Source organism: Homo sapiens, chromosome 5 (genome assembly GCF_000001405.40).
Source record: "Homo sapiens chromosome 5, GRCh38.p14 Primary Assembly".
Taxonomy (NCBI): Eukaryota; Metazoa; Chordata; class Mammalia; order Primates; family Hominidae; genus Homo; species Homo sapiens.
This window is the reverse complement of record NC_000005.10, coordinates 79,015,846-79,035,720: the sequence shown is the minus strand read 5'-3', so window position 1 is coordinate 79,035,720 and position 19,875 is coordinate 79,015,846. Positions and strand designations below refer to the sequence as shown.

The window sequence follows — 19,875 nt, the reverse complement described above, 5'->3', positions numbered from 1 at the left end:
AACAGCACTCTGCCCATTTATTTGCTCATGTGCATGGTTGAAAGGGAAAGAACATGATGGTATAGCAGCCAGGCCATAGGAAATCAAAGCACCCCTGGCTCTGCCCTGGAAGTCTGTCAAAAATATAGACAGTGCTGTATCTGCTATGTGTGTCTTGGCTGAACAAAGACTGAGAACTACTGAAGATAGGAAAGTCCGATAACAAGGAGCATGCGTTCCAGGGTCAGATAAATGAATTTGTATCCTGAATCTACTCTTTACTGCTGTGTGACTTTATTTAGCCTCTGTGTGGGGGCTGATCTTTCTCCTTAAAATAGACTTGCTAAAGCATAAATCAGCTTCTATGTGTTAGACGGAAACTATGCCTGGTAAATGGGAGGCACTCAGTGTTGGTAGAACTTCATAAGCCTTCAAGTCTTATCAACAATATAGCTCTCAAAAATGGTACTTGATCTATATGGGCATTGGGCCTGGTTAAGTGAATGTGCTAAGTTTAATAAACATTTTAAGCATATATTTAATAATTTTTCTTGCTTTCTTAAAATTTAGAGAGGTTGTTTGTGGATAACTTGGATGCCCCATGTCTATTAAAATGCCCAAAGGAATGTAAATTGCTGGGTTTTTATTCTCTTTGAGAAAGTCTTTTTTTTTTTTTTTTTTTTTTGAGATGGAGTCTCGCTGTGTCTCCCAGGTTGGAGTGCAGTGGCGCGATCTCGGCTCACTGCAAGCTCCGCCTCCCAGGTTCATGCCATTCTCCTGCCTCAGCCTCCCAAGTAGCTGGGACTACAGGCGCCCGCCAACACGCCCGGCTAATTTTTTGTATTTTTAGTAGAAACGGGGTTTCACCGTGTTAGCCAAGATGGTCTCGATCTCCTGACCTCGTGATCCGCCCGTCTCGGCCTCCCAAAGTGCTGGGATTACAGGCGTGAGACATCGCGCCCGGCCTGAGAAAGTCTTTTATAAAATGTAGGCACTCATTTTTATGAAAGCAAAACAGGTGTCTTGTTGTGGGAAAAGTTAGTTAACATTTTCAGCATTTGCTAAAGTTCCTCCCATGCTCTTAGAAGCTGTGGTTCTGGCTAAGTTGTTGTTGTTGGGGATACTAGCATTTCTGTGTCTTGATGTCTGCTTTGTATCCCCTTTTCTTGCTTCTCTCCCCATGACTCTCTGCTCATTCAGTTCCTTGGAAGCTCCTGACTTAAACCACACATAAACCCACAGTAGAGGCCTTCATTAGACAAGACTGAGTGGGTAGAACTACACATGGCCAATGTAAAACCCATCCATTTTCTGATGTCAAAACCCCTTTATTTTCCGCATCGTGTTCTTGATTTTAAAGTATCATCTTAAGAAAATAGAAAACAAGCCCACCTTCCCCATCAAGTGGCCTATTAGTTGCAAAATACAAGAGACAGTGTTCCTTTCTACCTCTTTCCACAAGTCCTCAGGTGAGGGCCTCTTTGCCTGAATGTTTCTAAGATAATGGCTCAAGTTCCTTGCGCACAGGTCATTGTCTAAGGAGGTCAGAACTAACTTGAGTCTGAGAAGAGATGGATGGGACACCACAGTACATATGTTTCTCCCACCGTGTTTCCTACCAGTCAGGATAATCATAGCTCAGGAGGGCTGTTAGGGTACCAGCCACATCTGTCTGTTTGCATTCTGGCTCCAACCCCTAGTTTTCCTAAAGCAAAATTCTTATTAGTTAGGAGTCAAGGATCACCGAGCCTTTTCCCCATAAAGAGCTATTTTGTTTGTTGTTGTTGGTTTTTGTTTTGTTTTGTTTTTTGAGAGAGGGTCTTGCTTTGTTACCCAGGCCGGAGTGCAGTGGTGCGAATATGGCTCACTGCAGCCTCTACCGCCTAGGCTCAAGTTATCCTCCTGCCTCAGCCACCCGTGTACCTGGGACCACAGTCTCGTGCCACCATGCCGAGATAATTTTTTAATTTTTTTGTAGCGATGAGTTCTCACTTTGTTGGCCAGGCCGTTCTCGAACTCCTGGTCTCAAACGATCCTTCCAAAGTGCTGGGATTACAGGTGTGAGTTAGTGTGCCCTGCCCAATAAGGAGCTATTTCGCAGGTGTACATCTCTTGAAACTGTAAATAAACTAGCTATCAAGTCAGGCACATTTAATTTGGATGCCTAAACATGTCACTTTTAAGGAAAAAATTGTTCCATAGAGATTATGTTACTTGTGTGTTCTGATTAGCACAGAACAGTCCAACTTTGAAGCCCTATAAAATAGTTTGATTATGTTTCATTTGAAAACTACATGTGTTAGTAATGGGTTTTCTATCCCTGTATTTGAAAGATATGGCATAATCCACGCTGGTGGGGTAGGGAAATATCTCAGTGACTGGATCCTGCATGGAGAACCTCCTTTTGATCTGATAGAATTGGATCCTAATCGCTATGGCAAATGGACAACAACCCAGTACACTGAGGCCAAAGCAAGAGAATCATATGGATTCAACAATATTGGTAAGGTACAAATGTACTGTTGTCTACAAAGTGTTGACGGAATTGAATTGTAGCATCTCTGACTTTAGATGGTCTTTATTCTATTCACTGGGATGGCGGTAGTTAGGGACTCCAAAAAGCATTGTGCCCCTGAGACATAACAAGGAATATATATGGATGTATATATTTAACACGTGGAATGCCTCACTGGTTTTAAATTTTAAATATATTTTTACTTTACTCTTTGATGAGTCATATAAATGACAGCTCTGTTTTCTACATGAATCATTCATATATATGTATGTATGTATGTTTATGCATCTGGATTTTAAGTACTGTATTTCCATATTTGGAATCCCATGTAAGTATCTTGTTGTTTTGGCTATATGTGATTTAAAGTACCAATTTTTCCTTTTCAGTTGGTTATCCTAAAGAAGAACGGTTTGCTGGGAGGCCGACTCAACGAGTCAGTGGGCTCTATCAAAGGCTGGAGTCTAAGTGTTCCATGGGGTTCCATGCTGGCTGGGAGCAGCCGCACTGGTTCTACAAACCAGGCCAGGACACTCAGTACAGGTGGGAGAAGGACTTTACCTGCCTGTGGTTCTGACCGAGGGGTGAAACAACGGGACAGCAAAAAGCGCTGATTCTGCCTTACACTCCATTGCTCCACCCTGTTCCAAGGAGCACTGAGCTTTGTCCTACAAAAATTACTCTCTGGCAGTGGTGGCATTAGTCTAGCCCACGAGACACTGGCCCACATCTAGGACTCACGTGACCCTGAGAGTCCTATAGCCAGCCTTGGTGAAGCCTCTTGGCATTTACCAGATGCTCGGAAGAAACTTGCGACCGCCCTCCAAATTCCCACCTGGCTTCAGTTGGCTCCTAAAGGTTTGCTGTACTTTAGGGTGCTCAGTGGAATCACATCGTGTATAACCACAAAATGTACCTGGAGTTTTGGATTTTCTGTTCATCCTGAAATTGCTCAAAGCAACTGCTTTCTAGAGTGTGTGCACTGAGTCATGCAAATTATATGTGCAGTTGATAAGGTCATTTGCATAGCATTCCAGGTTAAGCGAAAACATAAAGTATGCCACTGAAACAGTTCTCTGAATTTGGGTAAAGTGCTACCTGCCATTGTTGTACTTTGGATTAATAGTGATTATATATTTTTTTCTCAAGAGAATCCACAGATCAAGGGAAAACAAGTTGCAAATTTAGAAGTTACATTATCCTTATTTTTATGCTGTCATTTTGCTTTTTACAATAGGTTTTGCTATTTTAAGACTAGATCTAATTCATACAAAGTATAGCAGAGAACCCGTTGTTGATGAATGAATTTGGGCTTTATAAGCAGCCAATCTAGATTATTTGGTGGCCAAATACTGATTTGGTTTTTCCTAAATTACTCTAACACATCACTTTTACTCTTCACTTAGTGCTGATTGGATCTGGCCTAAGTTTTTTCTACCATTTAATAATTAAACTATTGAAAATTCATGTTACAGACATAGCATCCTGCTCTGAAGTTAAAATACCACATTAGAAGTCCACTTCATAAAGCAGAAAGGACCTTTAGTAATGAGTCAAGAGACCTTTGTTCCAGGTCTGGCTCTGTCATTAATGTGAAGGCCTTGGAGATCATTTTGTGCCTTTTCTCTGAAAAATGAAGATTTGGGACCAGATCCTTATGTACCCCAGGTGTGGACCAACAGCATAGGCATCTCCTGCGAGCCTGGCAGAATGCAGACTATGGGGTCCCACCCCATACCTGCTGCTTCAGAATGTGGAATTTAACAAGTGCAAGTGATTTGTATTCCCATTAATGTTTGAGAAGCACTGGACCAGACAGCTCCACCCCGCCTCCCAACCCAGACACTCTGATTTAATTAGGGCCATTTTAAAATGCTCTCCAGATGATTCTAATATGCGTCTAGAGTTGAAAACCACCAGACTGGTTGACTTATAAACTCTCTTCCAGATCTGAGAGCCCATGAATTATATCTTATTTTCCAGTTAATCAGCACTTTACTCACTGAGAAATAGGTCAAAGGGATAAATGAGTAACTTTAAAGGGTCAGATTCCAACATACATGAATGATTTGCAGAACAGAATTTCAGGTTGCATGGTCTCGCCTCCCATAGTCCCACTCCCCGCTGCCCGTAGGATTTTCTAGATGAGTAGGGCTTATTAAAATATCGTATTCTGTAATTTTTGAAAAATGAACGGGAGTTGTTTTATGACACTAAATGTTGTGTTTCAGGCCAAGTTTTCGCCGCACAAACTGGTTTGAGCCTGTGGGCTCGGAGTATAAACAGGTTATGCAAAGAGTAGCGGTAACTGACCTATCACCATTTGGCAAGTTTAACATCAAAGGCCAAGATTCCATTAGACTACTGGACCATCTCTTTGCAAATGTCATTCCAAAGGTAAATAGCCTTGTAGGGATACAAGGTCCAGGATTCTGACCTATTTAATTCTTCATCCCATATGTTATTTTAGTTCACCTAATGATTTCTGGATGAACACTAGAACTCTTCAACTGACCAAAAGTATACAAGTATACAAGCTTATTTACTTTCTTTTTTTCTTTTCTTTTTTTTTTTTTTTTTTTGAGAGACAGAGTCTTGCTTTGTCACCCAGGCTGGAGTGCAGTGGTGTGATCTCGGCTCACTGCAACCTTCGCCTCCCAGGTTCAAGCAATTCTCCTGCCTCAGTTTCCCAAGTAGCTGGGACTACAGGCATGTGCCACCATGCCCAGCTAATTTTTGTATTCTTTAGCAGAGACAGGGTTTCACTATATGTTGGTCTCGAACTCCTGACCTCAGGTGATCCACCCGCCTCAGCCTCCCAAAGTGCTGGGATTACAGGTATGAGCCACCACACCCAGCCTACAAGCTAATTTTCAAATTTAAATTTTTGTTGAGTGAATTCTCATCCAAGGACCTTATGACTTTGCTTAATTGTTTCGATGGGAACTTAAAATTGAGTTCTGCAGTTAAATGAAGAAGAGCTTTTTAATGGCAAATAGTTTTAAATGATTGTTTAAATGGAGAACTTCAAATTACTGTTGGGTTTAGGTTTACAGATAATTCATACGATTGACACAAACAGTAAGATTCAGATACTTTTCATTCTTAACACCCACATTGTTATTTCAATAGGTGTTAAAAGGATGCATGTGATTTTTAGTTCATCCTAAGGTAATTTTTAATTTTTTTATGTAGGTGGGTTTTACAAATATAAGTCACATGTTAACACCCAAGGGTCGAGTGTATGCTGAGCTGACTGTTTCTCACCAATCTCCTGGGGAGTTTCTTTTAATTACTGGCTCTGGATCAGAACTTCATGATCTTAGGTAAGTGCACACCTAGTAAGAAAATTTTGTACACATTATATATTGACTCAATCTTACATTAAGTTTTTCTTTTTACCAGTACTCGAAAGTACAACTTTATTTCTTCTTAAACCTGATTGTTTCAAATAAACTTTATTTTTTTTAATACAAAAATATTTGAAGTGAGGGCCCCTGCCCCTCCCAAAGGTAATTCATCCATAGGTTACTTGTTCTAATAATATTAATCCATTTATTAGGCATCATCAATGTGCCAGAACCTTTTTTAGATATTACCTTAATGAATTCTCTTAATATTTTGCAAGGTATATATTATTCCCATGATCAGATGAGGAAACTGAGGTTTGGGATAAGGGAACTTACTCACACGAGCTTTTTGATTCTGATGCCCGCATTTGGTCCACTTCTGTAAGCTGTCTTCCTAAATTATCTTTGTCCTTTGTGATGCTTTGTGCTTTCTGGCCCACAGCTGGATCTAAGTTGCTGACCTGCCAAGTCCAGCCTTTACATGAATCTTCATTCTATTATAAAGTCTTTAGTCTAATATTCCAAATATTTTTGGAATATTATTATTTAATACATGTCTTACTCTGACAGATTCTCATCTTAGTTGTACAGTGATGCAAATTATATGCTCCAATCCAAGATGTACTGGGACCATCTTAATAGCTTAGCTTTGTGTAAATCCAGATGAACATTTTGTGATAGACTTAGATAGCTCAAGGACTGCTCAATAAATTAGAAACCAGCCCTATAGCTGGGTCCCAATAACTCATCAAGCCATAGAAATTGAAACTAGAGTTTCTGTCTTTTCCTTGTGATTCTCAGAGCAATTACGTGTCTTGTGGCAGGCACATTATTAACCTTTAGCAACATAAGTGTGCCTCCTGTGTACAGGTATTAGAGAAAATTTGGGTTTAAATTAATTTTGCAAGGCTGAATCATTAGTTTAAATGCAAAAGGGCTGTGTCACTATTTAAAAGAATTGTGTGGCAGAGCTCATTAAATTGAAGGATCCTTCTGTACTGTGAAAAATTACCCCCCAAATTTATAAGTGGGTGATTTAAAGAGAATCATCACTTAACATCTCAGGGGCTTGGTTTCCTCAACTTTAAAAATCAGTGTGATTTCATGAAATGACACTCTGGGGACTTTCTGATAACTCTAGACACAAAGCATGTCTTCAGAGAGATAATTTATTACCAAAGTACATTATTCAAGCAATATTTAACACCATGTTCATGACTAAAACGCAGATGGATTGAAGAAGAAGCAGTCAAAGGTGGATATGATGTTGAAATTAAAAACATAACTGATGAGCTTGGAGTTCTTGGAGTTGCTGGGCCACAGGCAAGAAAGGTCCTTCAGAAACTGACCTCTGAAGATCTTAGTGATGATGTTTTCAAGTTTCTTCAAACCAAGTCCTTAAAGGTTTCCAACATTCCTGTCACTGCTATTAGGATATCTTATACTGGTAAGATTGGAAAACAACCTGGACTAAGTCTCTGAAATTTAAAAGGTCAATTTAAAATTTAAAATTTAAAATTAAAAGGTCATGTCACAAGAAATGTGTGAGTGTGTATGCATGTGCACACTCACACTCACTTTTGTCCATGCGACTTTGGAGGAAGATTTTTGTTCTGCCCAGCTCTTATGTCTAGTCTGTCTATTCACTCCTCATCTTGAAAGTGGTTCCACAGATTTCTAGTTGTTGCTCCAGTCCCATCGCTGCCTACCATCTGGAAGGGCAGATAAAAAAAAAGTGGGGGCTGGGTGCAGTGGCTCACACCTGTAATCCCAGCACTTTGGGAGGCTGAGGCGGGCTGATCACCTGAGGTCGGGAGTTCGAGACAAGCCTGACCAACATGGAGAAACCCCGTTTCTACTGAAAATACAAAATTAGCTGGGCGTGGTGGCACATGCCTGTAATCCCAGCTGCTCTGGAGGCTGAGGCAGGAGATTTGCTTGAACTCGGGAGGCGGAGGTTGTATGAGCCAAGATGACACCACTGTACTCCAGCCTGGGCAACAAGAGTGAAACTGCATCTCAAAAAAAAAAAAAAAAAAGAAAAGTGGGGAAGAGGATTGGCTGAAATAGTCGGGCCAGCCAACTCTATTTGTGAACATTCAAGATGGTCTCCTGGAGATAGAATCTCCCATAGAGACCATTTTGAAGGTATCAGGTACCTCTCCTAGAGCATTGCCAACAATCCTTCTTTCCTTCCAGACTGTAAGTTCACTGAGATGTCTTCCTCTAGCACCTAACCTTGCACATGGTAGGTATTTGATACAGAGATGAATGAATGCTCTTCAGTTCCCCAGTGGTGCTCTGGGCTCCCTTCTAAGTTTTTCTAGACCTCCTTGTCTCTCACAGGAGTACTGCATGCCCAGGCATTCATTCAATTATATGTTGCTCCTATTCTGTGGTATCCCATAAAAACACCTTACCATGAGCCCTCCACCTTGGGAAACAGGAGAACACAGAGATTAAAGACCATAGCTCTTTCTCTGGGCTGCTGCTATACCTTTTCCCTGCCCTTCTTCCACCCAACGTTGGCAAATTCTAGAATAAAAAATGAGCAGGGCTGGATGCAGTGGCTCATACCTGTAATCCCAGCACTTTGGGAGGCCAGAGTGGGAGGACTGATTGATTGTCCCAGGAGTTCAGGACCAGCCTGGGCAACATAGTGAGACCCTGTCTCAACAAAAAAACAAGACAAAAAAACAAAACAAGAACACAAAAATAAGCAGGATTTTTTGGGTTACATTTAATTTCTTTTGATTTTTGCCCACAGCTCTGTTGGTGAAGGAAATGACTAGGGAAGAAGTGGGAGGGGGAGAAGTCAGAGACTATGGCTTTCTCACTATGAGGATAACTTGAATAATTCTTAGTTAACTATATTTTTAAGCTTGTGATTTTTGGGCAAGGGGTTGGTTTAAACCTTGAACTCGTTGCCCTGATAAACTGTGCCATGCTAACTATTCACCTAACGTCATTGTCCCAGAAAACAGTCAAGCCTCATTAGAAAGCTGGGGTCCAGGGTGGAGATTAATTCCTGTATTATAGTCTTTCTGTGTCATGACAAGAGGTGTCCTGCATACCACCATCTACATGGGAGTCAGGATCGGCACAAATGCATCTGTGATATGGTGGGCTTCTTTGCAGTGGGGTCTTGTAACTTTTTGTGAGCTGGTCTTTTTAGAGACTGACAATGTCTGTGTTGCATAAGTGGAATTTCTCCTGCTTATATGTGTTCTAGCTAATGCACATTAGATCTAGTGATCATTGTTCTTGCCCTGCTGTGGCACCTGTGGGTTTATTTCAGGTGAGCTGGGTTGGGAGCTGTATCACAGAAGAGAAGATTCTGTGGCGCTGTATGACGCTATCATGAATGCAGGCCAGGAGGAGGGAATCGACAATTTTGGAACCTATGCCATGAATGCCTTACGCCTGGAGAAAGCCTTCAGAGCCTGGGGGTTAGAGGTTTGAAATGCTAGCATCTTTATTAACATTTTATGTTTATTTATCTCATTTTTATATAAGGGCTGGTTTGAACTGCAATAACATTGGTTTTGGCTGTAAGAGAAATTACATATCATTAGATAACTTTATTTCATTAGGGGAAGAGGTTTTTCTCCTTAATTTCTCAAGTGAAAGTTCAGTGGAATTCTGACATATGTTTATTCTGCCTTAATTCATCCTAGTTGGCTGACAGCCCTAGATAACTGTCTTGGACTTTGGGGAGCCGGCTTGCCTCATGGGATTAGAGTAACACTTTTCAAAATCTCTCCTCCTCTGTCATTTTGCCCGTCTTCATTTTCTTCTTATCTTATACCTTTTGGTGAATTAACACTCCTTTCTGAGGGGCAGGGTTGATGGTCCAGAATGTGGTGGTCCAGCCTTCCTCCACCATTAATAATGGTTATTAAGAGTTTCTATTTGTATAGTGCTTTAACCATTTACATATTTTCATATGCATGATTTCATTTTCCTTCTCAACTCTCCATTACCTCTATTTTACGCATAATAACACTGAGACTTAGAGAACCACTTGGTCCAGATTACCTAGTAAGTGGCCAGCCTGTGGTTTAAACTCTGTTCTCCTACTTTATTTCCAATATGGCAGGCTATCCCTGGACCCAGTCACTATTTCAGATTCAGTAGTTGTTTCTTTGGAAGACACTGAGGTTTTAGACCTGAAAGGTAAGATAAGGGATAGTGGTAAAAGATGAACTCAGAGCGGGGACTCTTGGGTTTGAATTTTTCCTCCACCACGCACCAGCTATCTGGCTTAACCCTCCAGAACTTCTGTTTACTTTTCTAAAAAATGGATTTTTTATGCTACAGAATTATCATAGATAGTAGAGAGAGTCTAGGAAGTGCCAAGCACATAATAAAGTGCATTTGATTGAAGGGGAGAGTGTGTTTCAAAGCCCAGGCAGAGACCCAAGGGCATTTAGAGTGCGCAGAAGCAAGTGGGCAAGCTCTCCACGAGAGATCCCCTATTAGGGGATTCTCTAGCTACAACTGGGGACTGAGGCGAGGCTAGGCGCAGGGACAGAAACGGAGGACAGCGCGGTCCCCACACTCTCCGAGGAATGAAGCAGCAGGAGCAGCCCTTTGGGAGTCAGACATTTCTCCATTCTCCTGCCTTTTATTTTCTCAGATTTCCTCTCCCGGCGACCTCCTCTGGAGAGCTTTTCTCCTTCTCCCGTCCCTCCGATTTCCCAGCAGTGCCAGAGCGCCCTCTAGTGTTGGCACTGCAATCCTCTGTGCTTCATTTTTATTTTTTTCTTTGAAGAAATTCTGAAATTTTGAACAGATAAATATAATTTTAGAATAGCTCAAATTGATTAAGAAATATGAGGCAACGTTTTACGTCATATAAAACAAGCGTACTTTCATTTAGTTTATGCAGGTGCTGTGTTGCTTTAAAAGTTTGACTGCTTGTAGGGGGTTTAGACTAGTTCTCTCACTGCGAAGAAAACAACAAAACGAAGAAAGAAACAAAAACCATTAACTTCAGGTCTATTACCAAATATTGGCGTTAGCCCTGACTTGGTAGCTATTACAGTGACTTGGCCACATTTGAAGAGATACAGATTCAAACTCCGCTTATTCCTTTCTCCTCTCCTGAACTCTATCAGCCACCTTCCTACTATCTGCTTTCCCTCCACCTTACCCTGATTCTTGGTGAATTGTAAGATAAGTAAATTGTTTAATAACTTTTCAAAACGTAGTTATGTAAAATTATTGCAGAAAAACATGTGAAAATCTTGTTTCTAGAAGAAACATCACGTACATTCCCTCAGATGTTTATTAAAATGGGAGAGCTGTGGAAACACAGTGAATTTTAGTTTCTATATTTGTTATATTCAAATGACCAGTTTTGCTGAAAGGCTACATCGAATTTTGGATTAAAAAATTGTTTTCAAAACCGGTCTATAGTTTGCCTTTCTTTAGAATCTGTGTTGAAAAATCAAAAAGGGTTCTTTCTCCTAAAAACAAATATGAAAGTGATGTTACCAAAATGACTTGCACTCATCTAAGATTTAAAATGTGTGTTTCCTTTTTAGATGAACTGTGATACAAATCCTTTGGAAGCTGGACTGGAATATTTTGTGAAGTTAAATAAGGTATGTTTACATTCCAAAGTGTGCTTGAAGTAAATCTTAACATTATGATGCTATTTTGTGACAGAGCCATTCTTTAAAATTTAACCAAGTATGGATTATAGGAGAAACAAGGTGAACATAAATACTAGCATTGCTCAATTGTGTCATATTACTCTTTTGTCAACATTTGCTTAGTTCAAACTATTGGAGTGTGCTTACAGATTTAAGATAGCAGAATCCAGCATCTTTAAGGGCTAAATCTAAATTCTAAGATAAAAATTAGTAAGGATAAGAAGATTATCTGTCAGATTCTAGTAGACATTTATGTTGGAAGTGCGCCATGTTGTGTATTTTGCAGTAACTCCTGGTGACTTGGGAAATTGCACATTAGCTGATCAAACATAGTGCATTCATTGATCCTTCTGGATACTCACAGTGTGGAGCAGCCTCACTTCAGCATATCTGTCCATCTGCTTATCAAGCATCTTTGTGGGTAACTGCAACATCTGAATATAAGCAAATAACACGTTTCAAACGTTTTCGGCATAAAATGGGTATTAACTGAGAAGCTAATATAAGCCCAAATAATCATAACCGATAAGACACTCCAAAGGGAACTCCTACATCAGTGGTTCTTAAAATGTAGCCTTCAGACTAACAGCATCAGCCTCATTGGGAGCTTGTTTGAAATGCTAATTCTCAGGTCCCACCCTAGAACTACTAAATCAGAATCTCTGGGAGTCAGGCCAACAAATCTGTTTTAACAACCCCTGCAGGGGATTCTGATGCATCTAAGGTTTGAGAAGCATTACTCTAAATAATTATAGTGGAAAAGCATATCATGAGGCCAATTTATTACAGCCAAGCTCATCTGTACAAGCCTTACAAATATAAATGAGGTTACTCCATTGAGCAGTGCCTAAGAGTTATAATAAAACAACTTAATAGAGCTGGGGTGAGTGGTAGTATTGAAGAATAAGGGCAGCAGCGGCTACTGTTTAGGATATTTGTTAGAACTCCAAAAATAAAATGTCCTGCCCTAGATGGTTGTAAACTAAAGACTGATTTCCCATCCTGTGGAAATACGTGAATACATGTATATGACTCAATCAGGCCAAGGAAACCTTTTTCATGACCCTGTGTCAGTTCCCAAATTCTGAGCTATAATATTAAAATAAAACATGTGTATTTATAGTATGAGATTTTAGGAAAACGAACCTCCTAAAGGGTTTTAAAGGGAATATCTTTCTGTACATTCTCCCCATGGCTTTTATTTTTATGATGTACCATCTGCCTCCAGACCAGAGAAAGCAGGTGCTTGGAATTTGGGCAGACCCTAGCAGCAGATTGCTCCCTCTGATAGCAGAAGCCTTACTTTAGCTGTTTCAAATAAGGTTAAAAATGGCCCAACTCTTGAAAGTGCTAAATTTCTGTTATTGGTCACCAGTAGGTAGATAGATAACTGATTCTTTTGCTTCAGTGTTCGGATATTATTGTTTGGGGATAAGGCATAGATAAATAATCCCTTCGTATTGAAATGGGATTTTCAAATATCTTTTATGATTATTAGCAGGGGTGGATTGTGTCTTTGTTAGTTAAGTTATACAGCCAAATAACCAAAGCTCATCTCAGAACGTAGTTAGTTGTTTAGAAGATACTAATTTTGATTTCTGGCATGTTTTTATAATTTCTGAATTGTTGTTTCTCATTCAAGTGTCACAAAGTTAATTCCTAATGATTTTATAGGGTAAAGGTCCTTGTAGCCCAAGGACCTGGCCCCCAACTGAGCCAGTCTTTTTCAATTATGTCAATTCAAGTGGCTAGTTGGTATTAACCTACTCATAATGATGCTTGCTAATCTCCAAGACAGGTGAATAGATTAGATCAACTTTGGTGGTTTTGTAGCAGTCTATAATGTGAAACGGATGCCTGGAAACCTTATTAACATTACAAACTAAGCTTTGTAACTTGACCATTCAAGTCCTGTGCCTAAAAACCAAAATGTTACCCAAACTAGCTTCATACAACATTTTAAATACTGTAAGCCTATAATTGCTTCGGAAAATCGATGCTATAGGAGAACAGAAGCAACAGCTAATACAGAGAGATATTTATATTTGATACCAAAACAAACACAGCAAAAACCCTGGCATTTTACAATTGTTTGAAATCAGTTATTTCTTTCCCTTCAGAGCAAACATTTAGAATTCTCTGGTTGGCCCTTAGGCATTTACACTATGATCGTTTAAGCCATAATGTGAAGAAAAGGTAGAAGCTGACTGTATCAGAGCTAGATGGGTCCCTGGGGATCAGCTGGTACTCCCCTCCCCCATCTGAAGCAGAGGAAACTGAAGCACAGAGAGGGAAAGTGACCTGGGGGAGGCCACTGCTTTAGCTTAGGTCGAACGCCACCCTCTGACCTCATCGTGGAGCTTTCCCACCCACCACTTTCCCCCACAAAGTCCTTTTCCACAGTGGGCTTATCAGACTTGAAAGACTGCCCAAGAATTTCTCTCTCTGGTAACATATATTGTTTGTATGGACTACCTTTTATTAATAGACACTTCCCCCACATGTTTTTGCTGTAACTAATTTTGTGTTTTATGATAGGATCAGAATAGCTGCTTTGCCCATTTTAAGGAGGAAAATGGCTGGGTGAGCAGATGGGCCATCAGGCCTTATTAGGGTGAATCGTGTTCTTGTCAAAACCTGTCAGCAAGTAGGGAAAAGAACAATGGAGTACTGAAGAACTCTTTCATCACAAAGGGAGACGGCGCAGTGGCCCTTGCTTCCTTCCGTCTTGGAGTTGTTCCAGCCTCCTTCCCCTGCTGTTGGCTTATGTGAAGTTGATACACATGTATCATTCATTCATCCGTTCATCTAGTAGACATTTATTAAGTACCGCTGATTAGACACCTTGCTAACCCATAGATCTAAATGTTAAAGATATACTCCTGATGGCTCTCAGATCTCATGAACCTGGAAACAAATAATATTTCAGGAACTAAAGCTGTAGGGATACGTTCTTAGCCGTAATTGTGAAGATAACCCTTCCGCAAGTGGAGGGCTCTCCAGCCGCATACAACACTGCCATCTTGTGGGAAGTGCTCCGTAGAGCCACTTCAGGAAGCCTTGACCAAAGCTGCGGTAAAAATAATTGAATCTGTACTTTTAAAATCTTCTTAACTAAAAACGCTTCACCTGAAACGACTCATATCATTGTTCTCAATGGTATTTTTGGTATGTTCCAAAGGAAGTAACTTTTGGGAGGAAAATCAGTAGCCTTTGTTTAGTTGGAGATGGAAGAAATGCATTAATCAAGAGCAAAAGGAAAATCAGCTGCCTTTGGATGGAGTCATAGGCATTCCTGGAATTTTCATGGTGGAAATATTGAATTTTTGTCCATTTCTGGAGAACCTCCACGAAGATTCACAGAGACTCAAGTATTAAACGTAATGTGTTGAAGCACATCAGAAGAATTTGTTTTCTATAATATGTTTCTCCCTCTTTTTCTCACTCTCTCCTTCTCCCTCTCTTTCCCTTTTTCTCTCTCCTTCCCCTCTCTCCCCGTGTAGAGCTTCTAACTAGTAGAAACAGAATAAAATGTAATCTCTATTAAACATAAGTTATAAGACAATGTTGATTCTAGAAAATGCAGGGTCTCTTTTGGAAGAAATATTTAAAGCATAACTGTTCGATAACCAAAAACAAAACAACCCAAAAAAGCTGGTAAAGAGGCAAAGCGCTTAGTACCAAGCCTTCCACACCCCAGGTGTTCAGTAAATATTAGCTATTATTAAAACATCAGAGTGCTAAAAACAAAAAAATCCAAGTGGAATCAAACCATTGTTCACAGACAACAAGCTAGAAAGAAATTGTTAATATAGTGGTCAAAGCATCCAATTCTCTTTGGGAAATTTGAGGTAAATGGTAATAAGAATTGAGGAGGCAGAAAATTTTCAGTGATACTTAGCCCTGGCTGGACATTAGAATCATCTGGGGTATGATTCTTTTAAATAATATTTCGCTGTTTAAAATCCCAAGGCCCAGGCTACACCCAAGATCAATTTAAAAAGAAGCTCTTGTAGGGACTCAGGCATCAGTTGTTTTTAATTCCCCAGGTGATTCTGCAGAGATGGAGAATTACTGTCTTCAACCAAAGATTTTCAACTGGCTGAACATATTATCCTGAAGAACTAAAAATTACCTGAACTGAAAGAACTAAAAACTACTCAAGTAGTTCTCAAGGTGTGGTCCACAGACCAGCAGCATCACTGTCACCTGGGACCTGCTAGAAAATTCAAATTGTTGAGTACCATCCCAGACCCCCAAAATCAGAAGCTGCCAGGGTGGAGCCCAACTATCTATCTATCTATCGATCTATCTGTCTATCTAACTATTTTTATTGAGACGGAGTCTTGCCCTATTGCCCAGGCTGGAGTGCAGTGGTGCAATTTTGGCTCACTACAACCTTCGCCTCCCAGGTTCAAGCAATTTTCTTGCCTCAGCCTCCCCAGTAGCTGGTATTACAAGCACCCGCCACCATGCCCAGTTGATTTTTGTATTTTTAGTAGAGACGAGGTTTCACCTTGTTGGCCAGGTTGGTCTTGAACTCCTGACCTCAGGTGATCCACCTGCCTCAGCCTCTCAAAGTGCTAGGATTACAGGCATGAGTCACCGCACTTGGCCCAACAATCTATTCTAATAAGCCCTCCAGGTAGTTTCAATGCAGTTTATTTAAGTACATGGACCTACCCCAAATCAATTAGATTTTCTCTAGGTGTAAGGTCCATGGTTCCTTTTTAAAGCTCCACAGGTGATTTTTTTTTTTTAATGCAGTGAATATTGAGAACCACTGTTTTAGTTCTTATAACTTCATACCAACTTCAGTCTTGAAAGTACATAGGAAAGTAGAAAAACATGTGGATTGGTCAGAGGATGGTGCTATAGAACTGTGGTGGAAAGGATGTAAATTAATAGATCTAGAGCCTATTCCAGCTAGGCTACAGGTTCGTATTCTGCCCCATATCTTTGTTTTTTCTTTTAGAACTGGGTAGTAAGTGAATTTTTTTTAAGTCACCAAATTCTAACTGCGTGGCCCAGGAAAGCCATTTAACTTGATTTTCATGCTGAGATTTTTAATCTGTAAAAGAAGGCTACTTTTGCAAGTCTAAAATCCTATGGAATGCCTCCAACACAGTGGTTGAAGACATTGGTGCCATGTTATCTTTATGAGCCACATAATTGTGTCATCTGAATTAAGCTATCCTTATTCTGTTACCCATTTTCATTGCTGAGTGATAAGGGGAAGGAGAGGAGAAAGGAGGGGAGGGGAAGAGAAGGAAAGGAAGAGGAAAGAAGTAAAACCTAGCTGAAGTGTAGTTGACCATTCCTGAAACACCTGTCAGGATACATTAAACTAAAGCCATTGAATCATTATTTTCATATATATCCAATTTCTGTTATGAAACAGTACTTTGTTTCTACCCTAAGAGCTGAAATGTGAAGTTTAGCTGACTGCTTTCAAATTTGGATATCCATGGAAACCCAGGTCTAGGAATGAATTGAAATAATTTTTAAGATTGCTTTTATTTTTATTATTATTTTAAGTGTATTTGAACATGCAATAATTGACATATTTAAAGTAAGCAATTTGATAAGTTTTAGTACATGATACAGCAGTGAAACCATCACCGCAGTGAAGATAGTAAACCTATCCCTCATCCCCGGGGTGTCCATGCCCCTTTGTGATCCCTACCCGCCACCCTCCCCACAGCCTCACCTACCCCCCAGGCAACAATTTATGTCTGAGACTATAGGTTATTTTGCAATTTTTAAAATAAATGCAAAATCTATAAAAATGGAATCATAGAGTATATACTTTTTTTGTGTGTTAATTCTTTCCCTCGGCATAACTTGAGAGTCATTTGTGTTGTTATGTTTATTAATAGATCATTCCCAGTGGCATCTCATACCTGTAATCCCAGCACTTTGGGAGGTGGAGGTGGAAGGGTTGCCTCAACCCAGGTTTGAAACCAGACTGGGCAACATAGTGAGACTTCCATCTCCACAAAAAATTAGCCGGGCATGGTGACACATGCCTGTAGTCCTAGCTACTTGAGAGGCTGAGGAAGGAGGACTGCTTGAGCCTGGGAGGTCAAGGCTGCAGTGAGTCATGTTTGTGCCACTGCACTCCAGCCAGGGCAACTGAGCAAGGCTCTGCCTCAAAAAAATAATAATAATTCCCTTTTATAGCAGGTAGTATTCCATTGTATGGATATACTACAATTTGTTTGTGTACTCACTCATTGATAAATATTTGGGATGTTTCCAGTTTAGGGCTATTACAAATAAAACTCCAGTAGTCTCTTGGTATACCTGGAGGATTGGTTCTATGACTGCCCAAGGGTACCAAAATTTGCTTGAAGTCCGGCAGTTTGTCTGTGGAAACTGCCTATAGAAAAAGTTGGGTTTTGCATCCTGCAAATACTGTCTTTTTGATCTGCTTGGTTGAAAAAAATGCACATATAAGTGGATCCGTGCAGTTCAAACCTGAGTTGTTCAACAGTCAGCTGACACTGTGAACATTTGTGTACAAGTATTTGTATGAACATAGGCTTTCTTTTCCCTAGGTAAATACCTAGGAGTGAAATGACTGAATAAAATGAAAGTGTATGGTAACTTTGTAAGAAACCGTTTTGCCAAGCTGTGTGCCATTTTATATATTATAGTCCTACCAGCAGTATGTGAAGTTCCAGCTCCTCTACATCCTTGTCAAATACTTTTCATGGTCAGTCTTTTTAACTTTAGCTATTCTAAGAGATATGTAGTGATGTCTCATGATGGTTTTAATTTATTTCCTTAATGTCAAATGATGTTGGACATTTTTTGATGTGCCTCCCTGCCATTTCTATATCTTTTTTTGTGAAATGTCTGGTTAAATCTCTTACCTAGGGTTTGTTTTTTTTAATTGAGTTTTTAAAGTGCTTTCTGTATTCTTTATCAGATACATGCTTTGCAAATTTTTTTCAGATGTCTTGACTTTTCATTTGTCTCATGGTGTCTTTCAAAGAGCCATTTTTAATTTTTGAATTTTAAAGTTCTTATCAATTGTTCTTTTATGAATCATGCTTTTGGTTCATATCTAGGAAATCTTTGCCTAATCCAAAGTCATAAAGATTTTCTGCTATGTTTTCTTCTAGAAGTTTTATTATTTTACTTTTTACATTTAGGTCTATGATCCATTTTTAGTTGATCTTGTATCTGGTATGAGGTATGGACTGAAGTTTTATTTATTTGTACTTGGATAACCAATTGCTTTCAGCACCATTTGTTGAAAAGACTATATATTCTGAATTTCATTGCCTTTATATCTTCGTCAGTATGTTTATATCTTTGTCCATTTGTTTGTAGGTCTATTTCTGGACTCTGTTGTATTCTGTATATCTGTTTATCTTTCCAAATGCCAATACTACAGTGTCTTGATTACTGTTGCTCAAATAAGGTTGTGATAGCCCTGCAACTTTGTTCTCTTTTTTAAAGCTGTTTTGGCTATTCTAGGTCCTTTGAATTTCATTAATTTTAGAATCAGCTTGTCAATGTGTACCAAAAAACCTGCTAGACTTTATTGGAATTGCATTTTATCTACAGGTCAATTCAAGTATTACAATTCATGAACAAGTTCCATCTCTCCATTTATTCAGGTCATCTTTTATTTCTGTCAGGAATCTTTTATAGTTTTCAGTATACAGGTCTTACATATCTTTTAACATATTTATCCTTAAGTATTTCATGTTTTGATACTGTTGTAGATGGTATTTTTAATTTCAATTTTCAGTTGTTTATTGCCAAATTATAGAAATACAATTGGTCTTATATGTTGATCTTATATTTTGGAACTTTGCTCAATCTGCTTAGTGGTTCTAGTAGCATTTTTGTAGATTCCATCAGATTGTCACATGGACAATCATGTTGTATAAAAATAAAGCTTTTCTTTGTCTTTTCTAATTTGGATATCTTTTTTTTCTTTTTCTTGCCTTATATTCCTTTTTTTTTTTGATGGAGTCTCACTCTGTCTCCAGGCTGGAGTGCAGTGGCGCGATCTTGGCTCACTGCAACTTCTGCCTCCCGGGTTCAAGCGATTCTCCTGCCTCAGCCTCCCAAGTAGCTGGGACTACAGACATGCACCACCACACCCAGCTAATTTTTTTTGTATTTTTTTAGTAGAGACGGGGTTTCACCATGTTGGCCAAGATGGGCTTGCCTTATATTCTTGCCTGGAAGTTCTTTATCAAGTTGAAGACATTTGCTTCTATTCCTAGTGTTAACATTTTTAAAAAAGATCAGGAATAGATACTGGATTTTTAGCAAATGATTTTCCACATCTACTGAGATAATCATTTTGTTTGTTTTACTTTGTTATATGGTTTATTACATTTATTAATTT

The 19,875-nt window shown here is 39.5% G+C and overlaps 1 protein-coding gene across 5 annotated transcripts in view, besides 1 other annotated feature; it reads left to right on the top strand.

Moving 5' to 3' along the window:
• DMGDH (dimethylglycine dehydrogenase) overlaps nt 1–19,875 on the top strand; it is a 72,111-nt gene that overhangs the window by 33,954 nt on the left and 18,282 nt on the right. For 3 of the 5 annotated variants that reach the window (NR_104003.3, NR_104002.3, XM_006714597.3), the window contains 8 exons: nt 2,313–2,482; nt 2,881–3,034; nt 4,723–4,888; nt 5,687–5,817; nt 7,071–7,288; nt 9,140–9,297; nt 11,391–11,450; nt 14,040–15,066. Coding sequence is in view for 3 of the 5 variants with exons in the window: in XM_006714597.3 (XP_006714660.1) it covers nt 2,313–2,482; nt 2,881–3,034; nt 4,723–4,888; nt 5,687–5,817; nt 7,071–7,288; nt 9,140–9,297; nt 11,391–11,450; nt 14,040–14,114 (1,132 nt within the window). In the remaining 2 variants the exon portion in view is untranslated. Of the gene's footprint in view, nt 1–2,312; nt 2,483–2,880; nt 3,035–4,722; nt 4,889–5,686; nt 5,818–7,070; nt 7,289–9,139; nt 9,298–11,390; nt 11,451–11,787; nt 19,437–19,875 lie in introns of those variants that run through there. The other 2 variants (XM_011543355.3, NM_013391.3) reach the window with 2 other exon arrangements.
• Nucleotides 13,517–14,018: an enhancer, noted in NCBI's record as "NANOG hESC enhancer chr5:78317526-78318027 (GRCh37/hg19 assembly coordinates)". NCBI's record gives its function as "activates a minimal SCP1, AML or CMV promoter by ChIP-STARR-seq in naive H9 embryonic stem cells {active_cell/tissue: H9 hESC(naive)}" and the evidence as "EXISTENCE:reporter gene assay evidence [ECO:0000049][PMID:30033119]".